General features: G+C 39.8%; 1 protein-coding gene and 1 pseudogene across 10 annotated transcripts in view; one reads left to right on the plus strand and one right to left on the minus strand.

The window, feature by feature from the left end:
- Positions 1-21,291, minus strand: part of PKP2 (plakophilin 2) — a 106,023-nt gene that overhangs the window by 57,469 nt on the left and 27,263 nt on the right. For all 10 annotated transcript variants that reach the window (NM_001407156.1, NM_001407155.1, NM_001005242.3 and 7 more), the window contains 2 exons: positions 20,704-20,839; positions 2,543-2,750 (listed from right to left, as the gene is read on the minus strand). In NM_001407156.1, the coding sequence (NP_001394085.1) occupies positions 2,543-2,750; positions 20,704-20,839 (344 nt within the window). The remainder of the gene's footprint in view (positions 1-2,542; positions 2,751-20,703; positions 20,840-21,291) is intronic.
- Positions 14,808-15,248, plus strand: RPL35AP27 (ribosomal protein L35a pseudogene 27; annotated as a pseudogene).

Consider the following 21,291-nt stretch of genomic DNA (forward strand, 5'->3'; position numbering starts at 1 on the left):
ACCAGCCTGATCAACGTGGCGAAACCCCGTCTCTACTAAAAATACAAAAAATTAGCTGGGCGTGGTGGTGGGCACCTGTAATCCCAGCTACTTGGGAGACTGAGGCAGGGAGAATTGCTTGAACCCTGGAACCAGACGTTGCAGTGAGCTGAGATCATGCCACTGCACTCCAGCCTGGGCAACAGAGCAAGACTCTGTCTCAAAAAGAAAAAGAGAATAGAGAGAGTAGCATGGTACCTCACATAGTTTTATAACATTAAAATATATCAGAATTTAAAATGTGATATTTAGCAACATGTATACAGCTGGAGGTCATTATCCTAAGCAAATTAATGCAAAAACAAAAAATCAAATACCACATATTCTCACTTACAAATGGGAGCTAAACATTGGGTATACATGGACTTAAAGATGAATAAAAGAGGGAGGAAAGGACGGGGGCAAGGGTTGAAAAACTATCTGTTGGGTACTATGCTGAGTACCTGGGTGACAGGACCATTCGTATCCCAAACCTCAGCATCACACAATATATCCATGTGACACACTTGAACACGTAACCCCAAATCTAAAATGAATGTTGAATTTTTTAAAATGTGATATTTTAAGACATAAAGCGAGTAGAGATAACATAATGACAAAATCTTTATAGAAAAATTAAACCTATTATATAACTAAATGAAGCAGGTAGAAGAGCAAAATATATTCAATTTACTTTAAAACAATATTTGTGGAGTATTTCCGTTAAAAGTATTTACCAGAACACTGTCAACTATTACACAGTTAAAAAAAAAAAAAAAAAAACCTCTTCTATGATGTATATTCTTTGAGCATTGGTTTCCTCATCTGTAAAATTGAGATATAGCACCTGATAATACCTAGAAACCCAAGGTTTCTGTGATAATTAAATTAGAAAATGTACGTATATCGCTGAGACATTGAAGATATTTAACAAAAATTTACTGATGATTGCACTCAGTTATGCCTCCTGCAATCTTTGTTAATTTTTTTGAGATAAGGTCTCACTCTGTTGCCCAGGCTGGAGTACAGTGGTGCAATCATGGCTCACTGCACCAGCCTCAGCCTCCTAGGCTCAAGCAATCCTCCCACCTCAGCCTCCTGAATAGCTGAGACTACAGGCACACACCACTAACACACCTGGCTAATTCTTTATTTTTCATAGAGACAGGGTCCCACTATGTTGGCCAGGCTGGTCTCGAACTCCTGGGCTCAAGCAATCCTCCTGCCTTGGCCTCCCAAAGTGCTGGGATTACAGGCATGAGCTACTGCACCCAGCCCCTCCTGTACTCTTTGTACTGTGTGCAGGGAACACAAGCGGAGAGCTGATGGTGATGGCAGGGAGAGTGCTTATTCTGGAACATCAACAAATCATCTTCTCTTTTATCATACGACTGTTCATTTAAATGAAAGTAGCCCCTTCTCTTCATGCTTAGAGGACATATTACTAACACTGCTGTTTTAATTCTATCTGATTAGTCCATCTCTCCAATTCATTGCATAAAAAGGAGACATTTGCTCCAATCAGTATTTGAACAAAAATGTGAAGTAGAGAATTAAAAAAACAAACATATCCAGTTACTCTTTTCTTCTTTAAGGTTTCAGTGAGCTAAGGAGGTGGTACTGAGAGGAGTCCAGATAATGGAAAGATTGGAAAAAACAGTTTCTAATATTTGATTACATTGATCCTCCACACTGGAAAACTATGTGACACTCCATTTCATTTTCTATAGATCCAGCAAGCTGGTTGTTGAGTAAATAATACAAACAACTGGGTGTGGTTCTTGTCAGTTTTCTTTAGAAAGAAAGAAACCAAAATTTAGTTTGGGACACCTAGGATAACAGTGAAATCCTACACGTTCTTAAACTACAAAGTGGGCTGTTAGTGAATTTAAGCAGAATTTTCATTGCAGTGAGTCTTGTCAAATTGTTTTAAAGACATTTAGTCAAAGGTGCATAGAGTTTCTAATTAAGAATATTAAGCAAAAGCCGCAGAACATTTTCCCCTTTAGAAAAAAGGAATTCAGGCTGGGCGCAGTGGCTCATGGCTCATGCCTGTAATCCCAGCACTTTGGGAGGCCGAGGCGGGCGGATCACAAGGTCAGGAGTTCGAGACCAGCCTGGCCAACATGGTGAAACTAAACTTTAGTAGAAACATCGTCTCTACTAAAAATACAAAAATTAGCCAGGTGTGGTAGCACATGCCTGTAATCCCAGCTACTAGGGAAGCTGAGGCAGAATTGCTTGAACCCTGGAGGCGGAGGTTGCAGTGAGCTGAGATTGAGTCACTGCACCTCAGCCTGGGTGATAGAGCAAGATTCTGTCTCAAAAAAAAAAAAAAGGAATTCGAATGTGGCTCAAATCTGGAGTCTAAGCCAGCAGGTAACAATGTTCCTTTAAAGCCTTCTCTAGCATAACAATGAGCCCATCAATCATTTGCTCCAGGAAACTTAAGAAAAAGAGATGATGTAAGGCATCTGGCTGGGGTGCAAATGTGTTAGGTTCTTCAATGTTCAGTAAGCACTACCTGTTATTTGTTTTTTAGTCTCCAAGTCTCTGGTTTGCTTCAGCACCTGGAGCAGCCGAGGTACCCCATTTAGTTCAGCCACCTCCAATTTGTTGTCATTGTCTTCAAATACTAAGTTTCTCAAGGCCCCACACACAGCTCGCTGAACGTCTTCATTCTGAACTTTTAGGAGCTGCAGAAGCTTGAGGATGCCACGAAGCTGGTTAACCTGGGGAAGAAGCAGATGCATATTTCTAATATTAATTTTGATGTGGCATCAAGGCATTCAATGTAATACAAACAGATGAAGTTTACTGATGCTGACTATAACCTTTCTTCATCAACAACTATGTGTAGCACAACTGAGGCTCTTGTAGAATATACCCCGGCTATAAGGCAGTATCTGTCATCAAGGAACTTATAGTACATTTGGGAAGTTAAGACTGAAACCTATGAAATAATTGAAGGGGAAGATTAAGTGATAAAGGGTGCATAGGTACTAGTTAAACAAAGTTAAGTGATAAAAGCTTGGAGCATAATAAAAATGAAAAGAATTGGGAATCTAGGCAGTAAGGAGAGTTTTTTTTATTAAATAATCCAAAATTACGTAAGTTTTTTCCTAAGACAAAACTTTATAGTCCATATAAAATGAATAGTATCACTTTCATTAACAGAAATAAAAATGCATTTACCATGTCAGCCTCAGTAGTAATGCAAACTAACCCTAAATTCTTTTTTGTTTGAGATGCAGTCTGGCTCTGTCACCCAGGCTGGAATGCAGTGGCGGGATGTCGGCTCACTGCAAGCTCCGCCTCCCAGGTTCACACCATTCTCCCGCCTCAGCCTCCTGGGTAGCTGGGACTACAGGCGCCCGCCACCACGCCCAGCTAATTTTTTGTATTTTTAGTAGAGATGGGGTTTCACCATGTTAGCTGGGATGGTCTCGATCTCCTGACCTTGTGATCCACCCGCCTCGGCCTCCCAAAGTGCTGGGATTACAGGCGTGAGCCACTGCGCCCGGCCACTAACCCTAAATTCTTATAACCAATTGCATGGAGTATTTTAAAAGACTTATAAAACTTATGCAAGCACTTTAAGCAGATAAAATAATTTTACACTTTTAAATGTGTTATTTAAAAAATATTCCTTCTATCCAAATACGTAAGAAAGCGCATGCTATTAGAGAAAGGGCACAACCAGGAATGGGAAACAAATTGATCTAAGAAGGGGCCAAATAATCCTAATCTAAGCAGGGAGATTTTCTGTTTTAGTCGGAAAATATGATCTAAAGAAATCAGACACAGCGTTGGTGAAATAAAACATTAGGTTGTAGACTGAAGGCTTTCCTTCTCTTAGGCTTCCATTCACATCTGATTTTGAAACTTTTAAGTTGCCAAGAGCTGTTGGTAAAGATCTCATTTTCACTATCTTCATGAAGAAATTTTGAGGAAATAAGTTTTCATGAACGGGCATGAACTTGCCTTTCAGACGAAGTTTGTCACTTAGGAAGGACACCCTAACTACCAGCAGTTTATGCTCAGCGGAGAGCTGCACGCCTGGCCAGGGGCAGATTTGCATATTTTCTATGTACCAAGTTCTAGCCTCCCTTTCATAGACAGGTAAATGGTATTTAGGACACAGCCCTCCAATATTACATATTCCTTTGACAGGATTGGAGAAAAGACTAGAAAGGCGGAAATAAACATCAGAAATGTAAAACAATCTAAATAATAGCCACAACAATAACAACCACAGTCATCATAATAAAGCAAAAATTACAACTCCTCTCCCTCCTACTTCTAACATTAAGAAGCGTCAGTATAATGTTAGGAGTTTTACATACATTATCTAATTAATAGATTGCAAGAACCTTAAGAAGAAAGTACTCTTGATTCCTTTAAGGCTTCACTGGACGTAATAAGGAGTAAATACTTCCACTTGCTGGCTCCCTTCTGAGGAGACATTTGCAGAACAAGAGACAGATGGGAGAGTGGCCACAGCAATTTTGTTGGACTGTGTCTAAAGCCATTTAAATGCATGATAAAGATTTCTTAGCTGGCCGGGCACGGTGGCTTATGCCTGTAATCCCAGCACTTTGGGAGGTCAAGGTGGGCGGATCATGAGGTCAGGAGTTCGAGACCAGCCTGGCCAACATAGTGAAACCCCATTTCTACTAAAAATACAAAAAAATTAGCCAGGCATGGTGGTGGGTGCCTGTAATCCCAGCTACTTGGGAGGCTGAGGCAGGAGATTTGCTTGAACCCAGGAGGTGGAGCTTGCAGTGAGCAGAAATGGCACCACTGCACTCTAGCTCGGGCAACAGTGTGAGACTCCATCTCAAAAAAAATATTTCTTAGCTGTCAAGTAAATCTGGTCCAACAGATTATTTCATCACTTCATCTATTCCTATTACAGGCTAAGTATCCCTTATCTGAAAATCTGAAATCTGAAATACTTCAAAATCTGAAACTTTTTGAATGCTAACATAATGCTCCAAGGGAGTAATTCAGATCTTGGATTTTTGGATTAGGAATGCTCAACCAATGTAATGCGAATATTCCAAAATCTGAAAAACCCTAAATTCAAAATACTCCTGGTCTCAAGCATTTTGGATAAGTGATACTTAACCTGTATTACATTTCCTTAAACGAAAAAAAAAAAAAAAAAACCAAAATACACAATTTATGTTAAAACAACCTGTAATTCACGTTTCCCTAATTCCCTAATTTTTATTTCATGGTAAGGTTTTAAGGTAAATTCATACTTTTTTTTTTTTTTTTGAGACGGAGTCTCGCTCTGTCGCTCAGGTTGGAGTGCAGTGACACGATCTTGGCTCACTGCAATCTCCGCCCCCTGGGTTCAAGCAATTCTCCTGTCTCACTCAGCCTCCCTAATTGCAGGGATTACAGGCGCGCCCTACCATGCCCAGCTAATTTTTGTATTCTTAGTGGAGATGGGGTTTTGCCATGTTGGCCAGGCTGGTCTCGAACTCCCAACCTCAGGTGATCTGCCGGCCTCAGGCTCCCAAAGTGTTGGGATTACAGGCGTGAGCCACCGCGCCCAGCTGGCTTCCTCCTTTTAATAAGTTAAACTACAGAAAGAAAGGCCTTGACTGGCAAAATAGCACTGTGGGATATATACCCGTGTCTTCTGGGTACGATCTGTTATTCTGCTACTGTGGCACAGTGCCTGTTTTTAGGTTTTTAAGAAAATATAAGTTCATAATATACATTCACACTTTATAAGCTTCATGAATGCCAGATATACCAAATCCTCCCAGTAGCAGTATATATATCAGATGCAAAAAAAATCCTATTTGTCCTGAGGTACTTTGGCAGCTTTAGAAATATTTTATTAACTTAATTCATAATTTATAAGTTGCTTTCTTCAAAATATGATGGGAAATGGCTTACTGGCCATATTGCATTTCAAGCTGCAATGATAGAATTAGTAAGAAGTGGCATACGGAAGCCTCCCCAGCTCAGACCTGCTCCCTTACCCTGTCACCTTTATCACCTTGGCTTTCAGCACTTGCTCTAGCCCGGAAAGAGAGAACTACAGACATACCAGTGCTTAGATAAAGGCCGAAATCCGGCTACAGCTCTACTTACTGTATAACTTGACTCCCTAGTGTCTGGCACTTATCCCAAGCTTAAAAATAGATTTTAGTTACTTTCATCCATTTTATCAAGCAAATGGATATAAATCCTGCTAAATGCAAAAAGTTAATGACCTTCTCCTTGCATGTAACTAGAAGATGGTAGGTGATGAATCCTATCCACATTAGGACCAATGTCAAATATGCTGCTATTGTCCCTTAACGTTCAGGGAAGCAGCTGGAACCAGGGAGGTTTGATGAGTTTCCCAATTATACTGAATCCTCGGGGTATTTTTCCCTCCTTTGGGAAAAGGAAAAAAGAAATAGACTACCATGAATGTTTCAGAACTTCAAAGAAGTTCTCATTTGAGTTGGTTTCTAAATACATGAAAGGGCAGAGTCACATATGAGAATTTTAACTCTCTCTGTGGCTTTATTCTATCTTCCCTGCCAATTATAAAATAAGTAAATGACGAGGACTTCTGGTTGCAAATAAGCATAGGGAACACACAGCCTCTGCTGAGGCAAAGGCTCTCTCCAGACCTGGAGCCTTTGCTCTTGCTTCCTCCTCCTGTCTGGAAGGTTCAGTCCACTCTGCCTCTCTTCTGGCAAAGCCCTACTCATCCTGTGGGATCCAGCTCAAATGTCACCTCCTCTATGAAATGTCACTCCTTTCTCTGCTTTCCCTCCCATTAGAATTAATCACTCCCTGTAAACTGGCATAATCTTTCAGGAAGGCAAGTGGCAATATGTGTCAAAACTTTTAAAATATTCACTTCTAGTAACTTTTATTGGGAAACAATGTGAAATGAAGACACAGACTAACATGCAAAAATAGTGACTACATCTTTTGTAATAGCAGAAAATAAGAAACCATTAACATCCAGCAATGGGGGAAGACTGGTTGATGGTTGTCACATACCCACATGTTGAGGTATCCACGGGAGAGGCAGAGCTGACACTTTATTAGCCATACAGTTCCCTCATTAGTCAAATGGGAATTACTGTGTAAGATGAGCAGTTACATGTCAGGCACACAGTAGTTACTCAACACAAGGTAGCAACTACCATCACCTTTAACAATGTTAACTGAAATTTATAAAATATTAATGTTATAAAAATTCATATGTCATTTAAAAAATGGAATAAGGCCGGGCATGATGGCTCACGCCTGTAATCCCAGCACTTTGGAAGGCCGAGGCAGGTCAGATCACTTGAGGTCAGGAGTTCGAGACCAGCCTGGCCAACATAGTGAAACCCCGTCTCTACTAAAAATACAAAAAATTAGCTGGGTGTGGTGGCGCAAGCCTGTAATCCCAGCTACTGGGGAGGCTGAGGCAGAAGAATTGCTTGAACCCGGGAGGCAGAGGTTGCAGTGAGCCGAGATCAAGCCTCTGCACTCCAGCCTGGGCGACAGAGAGACTCCATCTCAAAAAAAAAAAAAAAAAAAAAAGGAAGAAAATATCTATGAATTTCTACTCATAAACACAGGCAAAAAGGAAATGAGATTAGGGAATTTGGGAGAAGTGGTAAATGTATGAATCATAAATAGGATCTGCCATTTTCTATGTTTTCAAATAATGAGCCTGTATTTATTTCGATTTAAAAATCGAAATAAAAATTTTTTTTTGTGGGGACAAAGAAAGCTACATATGCAATTTGATTGAAGATATGTAAGTATATGCATTAAAAATTAGAGAACAAAACCAAAATGATAATGGTGAGATTATGGGTGCATTTCCTTTTTTGTTTTTTAATTTCTCAAATTTCTTATCAAAAACTTGAATTTGTTTTATAGTAAGTTTTTGCAAGATACTTATGGCAGTGACTACTTCAGTGATGAGATATGAAACAGGCATGAAAATAAGACCACGTTAAGAAGGGTCTTACAGACTAAATTAAGGGATTTGTCTTTTATCCTGCAGGCAATGGGGGCAGTTATTGGAAAGGTCTCCCTGGGGGCTGTGAAGCATGAGACTATTAGGAATGGATAAGAATGGAGACAGGGATGTTAATCTGGAGACAGCTGGATTAACAGAAGATGGTGCTGGGACCAAGACAGTATCTCTGAGTAGGGAGGGAAAGATGTGGGTAGATTCCAAATACTTTTAGAAGTAGCATTAACAGGACCTGAAGACTGAGTGACTATGAGAGGTAAGGAAAAAAGAAGGTTCACCCCATGTTCTCACTCATAGGTGGGAACTGAACAATGAGAACACATGGACACAGGACGGGGAACATCACACACTGGGGCCTGTCATGGGGAAGGGGGAAAGGGGAGGGATAGCATTAGGAGATATACCTAATGTAAATGACGAGTTAATGGGTGCAGCACACTAACATGGCATATGTATACATATGTAACAAACCTGCACGTTGTGCACATGTACCCTAGAACTTAAAGTATAATTAAAAAAAAAAAAAAGAAGATTCAAAGAGTGTTCACGTTTTGGTGTGAAATTACCTGGGTGAACCACCCTCCTACCGTTCACTGACAGGGAACAATTTGCCCGGAGTTATTGCCTTGTGGCAGGCAGTGCACCATTATCTGACTGCATTCTCAGGACAACTCTTGGTAGGAGAACTATTTCTACTTTATAGGTAAGAAAGCTGAAGCTCAGAGAAGTAAAATATCTTGCCCAAGGGCACCTATGTAATTAGGGTGCTGGGATTCAAACTCAGCTAGCAGTGACTCTTCAGAGTCCATGATTAAACCACCAATGTCCTGCCTCCCAGCCCAACAGGACAGAGGGAGGGTTGGAGAGTAGAGAAGAAAAGCAAAAGAAGATAATATGTTCAGGCCAGGCGCAACAGCTCATGTCTGTAATCCTAGCACTTTGGGAGGCCAAGGTGGGAAGACTGCTTAAGCCCAGGAGTTTGAGACCAGCCTGGGCAATGCAGGGAGATCCCATCTGCACAAAAAATGTTTAAAAATTAGCTGGGCATAGTGGCATGCACCTGTAGTCTCAGCTACTCGGGAGGCTGAGAGAGGAGGACTGCTTGAGCTCAGAAGGTTGAGGCTGCAGTGAGCCATGATAGTGCTACTGCACTCCAGCCTGGGCAACAGAGTGAGAACATGTCTCAAAAAAAAAGAAAAAAGAGAGAGAGAGAGAGATCAACAGCGTCAAATACCAAGAATCCTAATCAAACAAAATGAGGACTGAAAAGCTGCTACTGGTTTTAAAAGTATTATGATTTAAAATTTTGATCTCTATGTCCAAATTATAATTTTCTCTTATACATACATTTAAAAACTATAGCACCATGTTTAACCTAAGAAGGATTTTTCAAATGTTCTTGGGTTGTGATATTATACTTCTTAGATTTTCTATGAAGCATATACATTTTTAGGTTTGCATATAATTTTCATGTTTCATCATTCTCAAAACCAGTCTTTGTTCTACCTTTATCTCTGAGTGACAGTCAAGCCAGCAAACAACTTCAATCCTATGTATAAGCAAAATGATATTTTTAATCAAATTAGTAATTTAAGAGATAGTAGAAATCTAGCCCAACTTGGGAAACAGAATAAAAATTCCAGTAATTTGTACTACAAAATCGAAGCATACGTAATGATGCCCAGTTTTTAAAAACTGGGAATAGGCCCTGGTGTGGTGGCTCACGCCTATAACGCCAGCACTTTGAGAGGCTGAGGTGAGAAGACTGCTTGAGCCCAGGGGTTTGTGACCAGCCCTGGGAACACAGGGAGACCCCATCTCTACAAAAAAAAAAAAAAAAAAAAATATATATATATATATATATATATATATATATTTATATATATTTTATATTTATATATATATATATATAAATATATATAAAAGCCAGGCGAGTCCATGCCTGTGGTCCCAGCTACTTGGGAGGCTCCGGTGGGAGGAATGACCCCCAGAGGTCAAGGCTGCAGTGAGCCATGATCACACCACTGCACTCCAGCCTGGGCAACAGAACAACACCCTGTCTCAAACAAACAAACAAAACGCCCCAAAAAACCAGGAATAAAAAAAGATTTAAAGATTTATCTCTGACTAGCTATTAAAGGATCAATATTCAGCCCCATTCCCTTCACCTATATGTATAAAGAATGTTCATCACTAGCTAAATGTCTTCTAAAATCCTTATTCATTCTTCCTACGGAACAAATAGGCAAAGGGTCAGTGAGAAATGCTCCATAATTATACAACTTTTGAAACGGCAAAGTCTAGATGTAGGGATAGGTCTTTTAAAGCAATATCTAAAATATAGACATCGAGATGAAAAATATTTAGTTTGATCTCATAAGAATTTTAAAATCCTGCATGATGAAAGATACAAAAAACAAAGTTAAAAACAACAACAAAAATAAAGCAGGAGAAACTATTTGCCACATATGTAACAACAAATTAATATGTGTAATAGGTAAAGAACTGTAAGTCATTAAGAAAGAGATATATCTTAGTAGAAAAAATACACAATGGATTAAAAATGACAATTCACTGAAGAAATACAAAGTCAAAAACCACACCAAAAGGTGCTCAACTTCATGAATAATTAATGAATTCAAGTGAAAAAAAAATCAGCAGAAGCTCTGTTGTGTGATCCTTACTTGACTGACCTGCAAGGCTAACCAACAACATTCTCTTTTCCCTCTGTGAAACCTCCTTGATTCTCAGAGTACTATCAAAGCTGGTAGGTTACTCTATTTGAGCCTTTGCACTTCTATTTCTACCAGTTGAGTTACATGTTTACCAACAGTAATTTAGGTTTGCTTCCCAGGGTATTTATGTCAATTGTATTTGTTATAATTATGTAATTTACTTACCTATTCTATAAATGGATGAAATATAAGTATAGAAAGAGTACTTATTTCTCTGAAAATTAATTTGATGCTTTGGAAAGACTAGATAAAGGTGAAAAGCTTAAGAGAGCTCTGTAATTAGTGATGGATAGAATTAATGTAAGAGACTAGGATTTGAACTCAGATGAATTAGTTCCATTAAGTTCTCATTCCACTTTAAACTTAAACTAAAAATGGCAGATGATTTATAATGGGCATAGTTTATGCATGCAAGATGATGATAAATTCTATAAAAGCGTTTATTTTATCATTTTAAAAAATATTTTTCTCAGTAACTTTTTTTTTTGTGTGTGTGTGTGTGACAGAGTCTCTCTCTGTTGCCCAGGCTGAAGTACACTGGCATGATCTTGGCTCACTGCAACCTCTGCCCCCTGGGTTCAAGCTATCCTCCTGCTTCTGCCTTCTGAGTAGCTGGGACTACAGGTGCATGCCACCATGCCAGTTAATTCTTGTATTTTTAGCACAGATGGGGTTTCACCATGGTGGCCAGGCTGGTCTTGAACTCTTGACCTCAGGTCATCTGCCTGCCTTGGCCTCCCAAAGTTCTGGGATTACAGGTATGAGCCACTATACCTGGCCCTCAATAACTGTTTGATTGGACAACTATTAGTCTTGATTTCAAATATAAGAAAATTTCTATGATAATGAAATGCCTATTTTTGCTTATCAGATTAACAAAAACAAACAAAAGAATAATACCTTGTGGTAGTAATGGTACATGGAAATGAACACTCTGATAAAATGTTGATGGGAGTGTAAATTTGTACAATTTTTGGGAGGACTTATTGGGGAGTTATTTATCAAAATTAAAAATGACTCGATAGTAACTAACAACTCAACTTACTGCCTGAAACAAAAATTGGACAAAACATACAATGGTTTCAATAACTGAAAATGAGTAAATGATGGATAGCGATCCCTTAGATATCACTGCCTTGGGAGAGTTCCCAGGCTATGGGGCAGTGAGAGAAAACTTAAGTGAAACTCAACAGAGTTGAGGGCACAGAGCTCAGAGTTTGAGAAGACCAAAGGAGCTAATTTTTGCAGAAAAGAGTACCACAGAGAAAAGAGCTGAACAGAAACAGAACTCCTGAGATGTGCAGAGGACCTGCCTGCTAGTATTCAGTAGAGTATTAATTAGTACATGTGGTATGAGGAAACTGTCTGAGGCCAGGGAAATAATCATCCAAAAGGATTTAAGGGAACAGCTCCTCATGTTCACACAGGCCTAGGAACAATGACTATTCTTATCAGCCAGCCAGAAAAATCTCAAAAATTCCTGCTACATTAGATAGAGTTCTCAGAAGTGTCTTGCCTTAAGAAGCAGGGATTAATTATCTCTAGAATAAATGCTGCTCTGGTTCCACTTAACAAATCTTAAAAGTAGAATTTGAGGGCAAGGAGAGGGAAAGCATTAGGACAAATACCTAATGCACGCGGGGCTTAAAACCTAGATGACAGGTTGATAGATGCAGCAAACCACCATGGCACATGTATACCTATATAACAAATGCACACTGCACATGTATCCCAAAGCTTCAAGTAAAATTTTTTTTAAAAAGTAGAATTTGGTCTGGGCGCGGTGGTGCATGCCTGTAGTCCCAGCACTTTGGGAGGCCAAGGTGGACAGATCACGAGGTCAGGAGTTTGAGACCAGCCTGGCCAGCATGGTGAAACCCCATCTCTACTAAAAATACAAAAATTAGCCGGGCATGGTGGCATGCGCCTGTAATCCCAGCTACTTGGGAGGCTGAGGCAAGAGAATCACTTGAACTCGGGAGGTGGAGGTTGCAGTGAGCTGAGATTGTACCACTGCACTCCAGCCTGGGTGACAGAGCAAGACTCTGTCTCAAAACAAACAAACAAACAAACAAACAAAGCAGAATTTGAAAGGATCAAACTGTTTCCAAGCACCTTAACTGCACCCAGAACAAAGCTCAAGAATATTTACAAAAATATCCAGCATCCAACAAGATAAAATTCACAATGCCTAGGAGCCAATAAAAACTGCCAGGCATGCAAAGAAGAAGAAAAATATGACCCATAATATGGAGAAAAACCAATCAATCAAAAGCTACCTAGAATAGACACAGATATTAGAATTAGCAGACAAGGACATTAAGGTAGCAATTTTATCTGTCTTCCATATGTTCAAAAATCTTGAGCAAAGATAGAACATGTTAAATAGAAACATAGAAGACATAAAAACACTGAAATCTAAATTTTAGAGATGAAAACTACAATGTATGAAGAAAAAATACACTGAGTAAGATTAATGGCATATTAAACACATTAATGTATTAATGGCATATTAAACACATATTAAGAGATTAGCAAATGTAAAGCATAGGAATTGAACTTATCTAAAAACACAGAGAAAGAAGACTAAAAAAGAAAGATCTAAAGAAGCCTAACGTGTATGTAATTGTAGTTCCCAAAGGAGGAATAGAAAAACTGTGAAAATTTTCTAATTTTGATGCAAAGTAGAAATTCACAAATCTATGAAGCTCAGTGAACTCCCAAGCACAAAAAACTAAGAGAAACTACACTAAAGCACATGTGACCAAACTGATCAACACCAGTAAGAAAGAGAAAATCTTAAAAGCAGCCAGAGGTGGGAAGAAAAGACTCATGTATGGAGGAAGAAAGATAAGGATGACAGGAGATTTCTTATCTAAAACAATGCAAGTGATGCAAGTGAGAAGACAGTGGAGCAACTTTCTTTCTTTCTTTGAGACAGAGAGAGAGTCTCACTCTGTTGCCCAGGCTGGAGTGCAGTGGTGTGATCTCAGCTTACTGCAACCTTCGCCTCCTGGGTTCAAGCAATTCTCCTGCCTCAGCCTCCTAAGTAGCTGGGATTACAGGCACCCGCCACCACACCTGGCTAATTTTGTATTTTTAGTAGAGACAGGGTTTTACCATGTTGCCCAGGCCGGTCTTGAACTCCTGGCCTCAAGTGATCTGCCCGCCTCAGTCCTCCAAAGGGCTGGGATTACAGGCGTGAGCCACCACGCCGTGGCCAACTTTCAGTACTAATATTTAGAAACTGTTAACCTGGAATTCTAAAGCCAGTGAAAATACCTTTCAAAAGCAAAGATGAAATTCTTTTTCAGACATACAGAAGCTGAAATAATGCAGGTTTGCTGGTGATGAACTAAAATAAATATTTAAAAAAAATTCTTCAGGTAGGCCAGGCATGGTGGCTCACACCTGCAATCCCAGCACTTTGGGAGGCCAAGGCAGGTGGATCACCTGAAGTCGGGAGTTTGAGACCAGCCTGACCAACATGGAGAAACCCCATCTCTACTAAAAATACAAATTAGCCGGGCATGGTGGCGCATGCCTGTAATCCCAGCTACTCGGGAGGCTGACGCAGGAGAATCGCTTGAACCCAGGAGGTGGAGGTTGCAGTGAGCCAAGATCGTGCCATTGCACTCCAGCCTGGGCAACAAGAGCGAAACTCCGTCTCAAAAAGAAAAGAAAAGAAAAGAAAATTCTTCAGATCATCTGGGCACGGTGGCTCACACCTCTAATCCCTGCACTTTGGGAGGTAGATCACTTCAGGAGGACCCAAGTGGATCACTTTGAGAGGCGGGTGGATCCCTTGAGGTCAGGAGTGAAAGACCAGACTGGCCAACATGGCAAAACCCTACCTCTACTAAAAATACAAAAATTAGCCGGGCATAGTGGCGGGCACCTGTAATTCCAGCTATTCGGGAGGTTGAGTCAGGAGAATTGCATGAACACGAAAGGTGGAGGTTGCAGTGAGCTAAGATCGCGCCACTGCATTCCAGCCTGGGTGACAGAGTGAGACTCTGTCTCATAAAGAAATAAAGAAAGAAATAAAGAAGTATTCTTGCCTCGCCATCTTGGATCCTGTGGAGACCGGCTAGGAACGGGACTTCTAAATGTTCTAAATGGAAATACGACTGGAAAGCAGTCTGTAGTCCGAGGCCATTTTTGCTGGCTATAAGTGCGGTCTCCAGAACAAAAGGGAACACATCTCTTCTTAAAATTAAAGGTGTTTATGCCCGAGATGAAACAGAATTCTACTTGGGCAAGAGATGTCCTTATGTATACAAAGCAAAGAACAACACGGTGACTCCTGGCAGCAAACCAAACAAAACCAGAGTAATCTGGGGAAAGGTAACTTGGGCGCATGAACACAGTGGCATGGTTTGTGCCAAATTCCGAAGCAATCTTCCTGCTAGAGCTATTGGACACAGAGTCCGAGTGATGCTGTACCCCTCAAGGATTTAAACTAATGAAACAATAATAAATAAAAGTGGATTCGTAAAAAACAAAACAAAATAAAAATTTTCAGGTAAAGGTAAAGGATCACACTATCTACACAAACAAATAAAGAGCACTGGAGCAACTTAGATCAAATGGACAAATCCCTTGAAAGACTCCCTTGAAAGACACAAATTACCAAAGCTCACTAAAAAAGCCACTGATAGTCTAAACAGCCCCACAGCAGTTCAAGAAACTGAATTTGCAGCTAAGAACCTTCTCACACATAAAAATCTTCAGGCTGAGACGTCTTCACTGCTGAAGTCTACCAAACATTTAAGGAAGAAATAATACCATTTCTAACCAAACTCTTTCAAAAAACTGAAAAGAAGGGAATACTTCCCAGTTCATTCTATGAGACTAGTATTACCCACAACTCAAAATCAGACAGACACTAAAAGTACAGATCATGTCTTTTACACAGACGTAAAATTTCTTAACAAGATTTTAGCAAATCTAGTCATAAAACCTACAAAGTGACAGTACATCATAACCAGGTGGGGTTTATGAATGGAATACCATTTTAAAATCAATCAAGGTAATTTACCATAATGGCAAAATTAAAATTAAAAACCATAAAAATATTTCAATAAATGCATAAAAAGCATCTGACTAAATCCAACATCCATTCGTGATTCAAAAACTCCATTAAAGCAGGAGTAGAAGGGAAGTTCTTCAACTTGATATGGTCATTTATAAAAAACCTACAGGTAGCATAATATTTAAGGGTGAAAGAAAGACTGAATACTTTTGCCCTGGGATCAGAAACAGGATAATATGCCCACGCTCACCACTTCTTTTCAAGATTGTAGGAGAGGTTCTAGCAAGTACTATACACATACACACACACACACACACACACACACACATACACACGTAAATATATATATTATATATATATTATCTATTCTATATACTAGCAATGAACAACCAAAAATAGAAATTAAAAAGTACCATTTATAATAGCATCTGGAAATATGATAAACTTAGGGATAAATCTAAGAAAAGACATGAAAGACCTCTACAGTAAAAACTATAAAACTCTGCTGAGAAAAACTGAAGACCTAAATAGATGTTAACATGTACCATGGTCATGGGTCACAAGACTCAATATTGTTAAGATGTCAATTCTCTCCATATTGATCTACAGATTCAGTGCAATCTCTAACAAAATCCCAGCAATTATTTTTTAAGAAATTGACAAGCTGATTCTAAACTTCAAATGGAACTGCTGAAGTTGTAGAATAGACAAAACTTTGAAAAAGAATAAAATGGATGGACTAACATTACCTACTTTTGAGACTTATAAAACGATAGTAATCAAGACTGTGGAATTTGAATAAGACAGACAAATAGTCTTCATCTTTGCTGAAGACTAATTACTCTGGGATTATTATCTAACATGTCTGTTTCTCTGAATCAGATGATGAGAAGTTGGCCCCTTTCTGGGTGAAGGCTTTTTGAAAGTAGGATGTGGTTGACTTGAGTCATATTTATTTGCACTAGGACGTAAGAATGTTTCACATCCCCAGTTTTCCATGGTATCCTCAAAAAATCAATTTTCTCAAAATTCATTTAGGAAATAATACTTGGGAATAGTAAACATTCAAAAATAATCTTACAGGCTGGGTGTGGTGGCTCACACCTGTAATCCCAGCACTTTGGGAGGCTGAGGTGAGTGGATCACTTGAGGTCAGGAGTTGGAGACCAGCCTAGCCAACATGGTGAAATCCTGTCTCTACCAAAAATACAAAAATTAGCCGGGTGTGGTGGCAGTTGCCTGTAATCCCAGCTCTTCAGAAGGCTGAGGCAGGAGAATCACTTGAAGCCAGAAGGCGGAGGTTGCAGTGAGCCAAGATCATGCCACTGCACTCCAGCATGAGTGACAGAGCAAGACTCCATCTCAGAAAAAAAAAAAAAAAAAAAATCGGCTGGGTGCAGTGGCTTATGCCTGTAATCCCAGCACTTTGGGAGGCCAAGGTGGGCAGATCACTTGAGGCAAGAAGTTCAAGACCAGCCTGGCCAACATGATGAAACCTCGACTCCACTAAAAAAAAAATACAAAAATTAGCCATGTATGGTGACACATGCCTATAATCCCAGCTACTTGGGAGGCTGAGGCAGGAGAATAGCTTGAACCCGGGAGGCAGAGGCTGCAGTGAGGCAAGATTGCGCCACTGCATTCCTGTCTGGAACAGAGTGACTCCGTCTCAAAAAAAAAAAGACAAATAGATCAATAGAACAGAATACACAGTCCAGAAATAGACTCACATATTTGATCAATTCCTTTTCAGCAAAGATACAAAGACAATTTAGCAGTGAAATAAAAGTCTTTGCAACAAATGACACCTGAACAATTAAATTTACATATACCAAAAAAAGGAACTTCAGTCCACATCTTACAATATATAAAAAATTAACCACAAATGGACCATAGAACAACTAAAATATATAACATTTACAAAACTTCTAGGATAAAATATAGATTATCTTCTAACTTTTGAATAGAGAAACATTTCTTGGATACACATGAAAAGCAGAAACCATAAAGGGAAAAAACTGAATAAATTAAATCCCATTAAAATGAAAACCTATTAGGAGAATGAAAAAACAGAGCACAACTGGGAGAAAATATTTTCATATTATATATCTAGAAAAGGTCTTGTATACAGAAAATATTAAAAAACTTACAAAATTCAATAATAAGAAAACAAAACAAAACAAAATGGGCAAAAGAATTGAATACACATTTCACTAAAGAAGATATGTAAGTGGCAAATAAACACATAAAGAGATGTTCTGGCTGGGTGTGGTGGCTCATGCCTGTAATCCCATCACTTTGGGAGGCCAAGGTAGCTGGCTCCTTTGAACTTGGGAGTTGGAGACCAGCTTGGGCAACATGGTGAAACCCCATCTCTACAAAAAATACAAAAATTAGCAAGGTGTGGTAGTGCACCGGTAGGCCCAGCTACTTGGGAGGCTGAGGTGGGAAGATCACTTGAGCCCGAGAGGTGGAGGTTGCAATGAGCCAAAATTGTGCCACTGCACTCCAGCCTGGGCAACAGAGGCAGATCCTTTCTCAAAAAAAAAAAAAAAAAAAAAAAAAAAAAAGTTCAACCCCTTTGTCATTGGGGAAATGCAAATTAAAACCACAGTAAAACACCTGTACAAACTTACAGGCTAACATTAAGGCTCACTATATCAAATGTTAAGATGAGGAGGAACTGGAACTCTCATAAATTGTGAGTGGGAATGTGAAATGGCACAGCTACTTTGTAAAATGGTTTAGCAGTTTCTTAAAAAGTCAAACATACACCTACCATACCATCCAGGCATTTACTCCTAGGTATTTACTGAAGAGAAATAAAAGCACATGTCTACATGAAGACTTGTATACAAATGTTCACGGTAGCTTTATTTGTAATAGCCAAAACTTCTGATTAACACGAAATGGGTGAATCTCAAAAGACTTACTCTGAGTAAAATAATTCAAACCAAAAAAATCTTATATTCTATATGATTCCATTTATATAAAATTCGAGAAAATTCAATCTATAGTGACAGAAACCAGATCATGGCTGAGCATGGTGGCTCACGCCTGTAACCCCAGAACTTTGAGAGGCCGAGGAAGGAGGACTGCTTGAGCCAGGTGTTCCAGACCAGCCTGGGTAACATAGTGAGACCCCCATCTCTACAAAAAATACAAAAATTAGCTGGGCATGGTTGTGTGCGCCTATGGTCCCAGCTACCCAGGAGGCTGGGGTGGGAGGATTGCTTGAGCCCAGAAAGTTGAGGCTGCAGTGAGCTGTGATCACACCACTGCTCTCCAGCCTAAGCGACACAGTGAGACCCTGTCTCAAAACATAGAAAGAAAGCAGATCACTGGTTGTTTTGGGAGGCTGTTCGTAGGTTGAGGGCTGGAGGGATTATATGGATTACACAGGGGCACAAGAAAACGCTGGAGGTAATGGATATATTTGTTATCTTGATTGTGATGATGGTTTTAGTGTCAAACCTGTCAAAACTATGTCAGATTGTACCTCAATAAGGTAGTTAAAAAATCAACCAACAAAACTGATACATTTAGACAACAGAAATCTATGCAGCATCTTAAAAGAATGAGTAAGATTAATACATATTGAAGATTTCCAAGATACGGTATAAAAAAATAAAGTATTATAAGTAGTAAGTTATCATTTATGATTTCATGTTTTAAAAAGGAAACTCAATCAACTGTTTCAACAATTGTTTCTTCGTGTATAAAATATCTCTGGAAAGATAAAAAAATTGATATATGTGTTTGTGTGTGAGAGAGATTGAAAGAGACAGAACAGAGAGAATATATAGGCTGGAGTTTGGAGTAGAAGAGACTTACTTTTCACTGAACACCTTTTTGAGCTGTGATTCCTCCTCCCTCACAAATGTATCACTTTTTAAGACAAATATAAAATAACATATTGATTCCATCTCTGAGGATCTGTCCTACAGGAACAGAAGTGTCAAAACATATATGCACAAAGCAATTCATTGAACAATTGTTACAAATGTTAATGGAATCACTGAATGAAAAAAAGTTGCAAAACCCTTGCCTCTGGGGATGGTTCTAAATGGAGAGGTTGGGGAGACAGGAAAAGAAGAGGGAAATTTGTGTAGTGACTTACTTTCTACATTTCCGAATTGCAGGAAATATTTTTGGTAATGAGTGGCTGTTTTCTTTTAAAGTAAAAGACCTCAATTAAGTTTTTGTTTGTTTTTTCTTCTTCAGGATGAGTCTCGCTCTGTCGCCCAGGCTGGAGTGCAGTGGTGCAATCTTGGCTCACTGCAGCCTCTGCCTCCCGGGTTCAAGCAATTCTCCTGCCTCAGCCTCCCAAGTAGCTGGGGTTACAGGCATGTGCCACCACACATGGCTAATTTTTGTATTTTTTTTTAGTAGAGTTGGGGTTTCATCATTTGGCCAGGCTGGTCTTGAACTCCTTGCCTCAAGTGATCTGCCCACCTTGGCCTCCCAAAGTGCTGGGATTACAGGCGTGAGCCACTGCACCCGGTTGATTTTTTCTTTTCTTTTTTTTCTGAGATGGAGTCTTGTTCTGTCACCCAGGCTGGAGTGCAGTGGCGCGAACTCAGTTCACCGCAACCTCCGCCTTCTGGCTTCAAGTGATTCTCCTGCCTCAGCCTCTCGAGTAGCTGGGATTACAGGTACCTGCCACTGCACCCAACTAATTTTTGTATTTTTAGTAGAGACAGGGGTTCCACCATGTTGGCCAGGTTGGCCTCAAATTCTTGACCTTGTGATCCACCTGCCTCGGCCTCCCAAAGTGCTGGGAATATAGGCGTGAACCACCACGCACGGTCCCAATTTTTAAAAATTTAAATAAATTATTGGTTTCAGTGTGCAAAGTCACCATAATAGAAGTGAAAGTGTGTTGCGCTTTGCAATGGACTGAAGATGACACTCACCCTCTTCCGAGCTTCAGATTTCTGGAAGCACTCGTGCTGTATGAAAGTAGCTGCAGCAGAAATCCTGGATGGCAGCATGTGGTCTGCCTCGAGCATACTCACTGCTCGCTCCAGAGTCATCTCCATGTCTGCATTCCTAGACAAACAGGCACAGATTCAGCCAGATTCCAAACCTCCCTCCTCCTGCCTACCAACCTGGTCCTCCAGAGACGACTCAGCGAATACTGGGAAGCACTAGAACATCTGAACCTTGGCTTTTCTTCAGCCAAAAGAAAAATCAGCACCCAAGATCACAAGGCAGAGGGACTACTGGATAGAAATTCTTCAGCTTTGATCAGATAGAAGACATTGGACGATGTCATTCGATTGAATTATACCATATACCAAAGAAAGAAGCTGAACTTTTAAAAATAAATATGAGGCTGAGGTGGGCGGATCACTTGAGGTCAGGAGTTCAAGACCAGCCTGGCCAACATGGTGAAACCCTATCTCTACTAAAAATAAAAAAAATTAGCTGGGTGTGGTGGTATACACCTGTAATCTCAGGTGTAATACTGTAATACTCAGGAGGCTGAGGCAGGAGAATCA

This window comes from Homo sapiens, chromosome 12 (assembly GCF_000001405.40).
Source record: "Homo sapiens chromosome 12, GRCh38.p14 Primary Assembly".
NCBI classification, from domain to species: domain Eukaryota; kingdom Metazoa; phylum Chordata; class Mammalia; order Primates; family Hominidae; genus Homo; species Homo sapiens.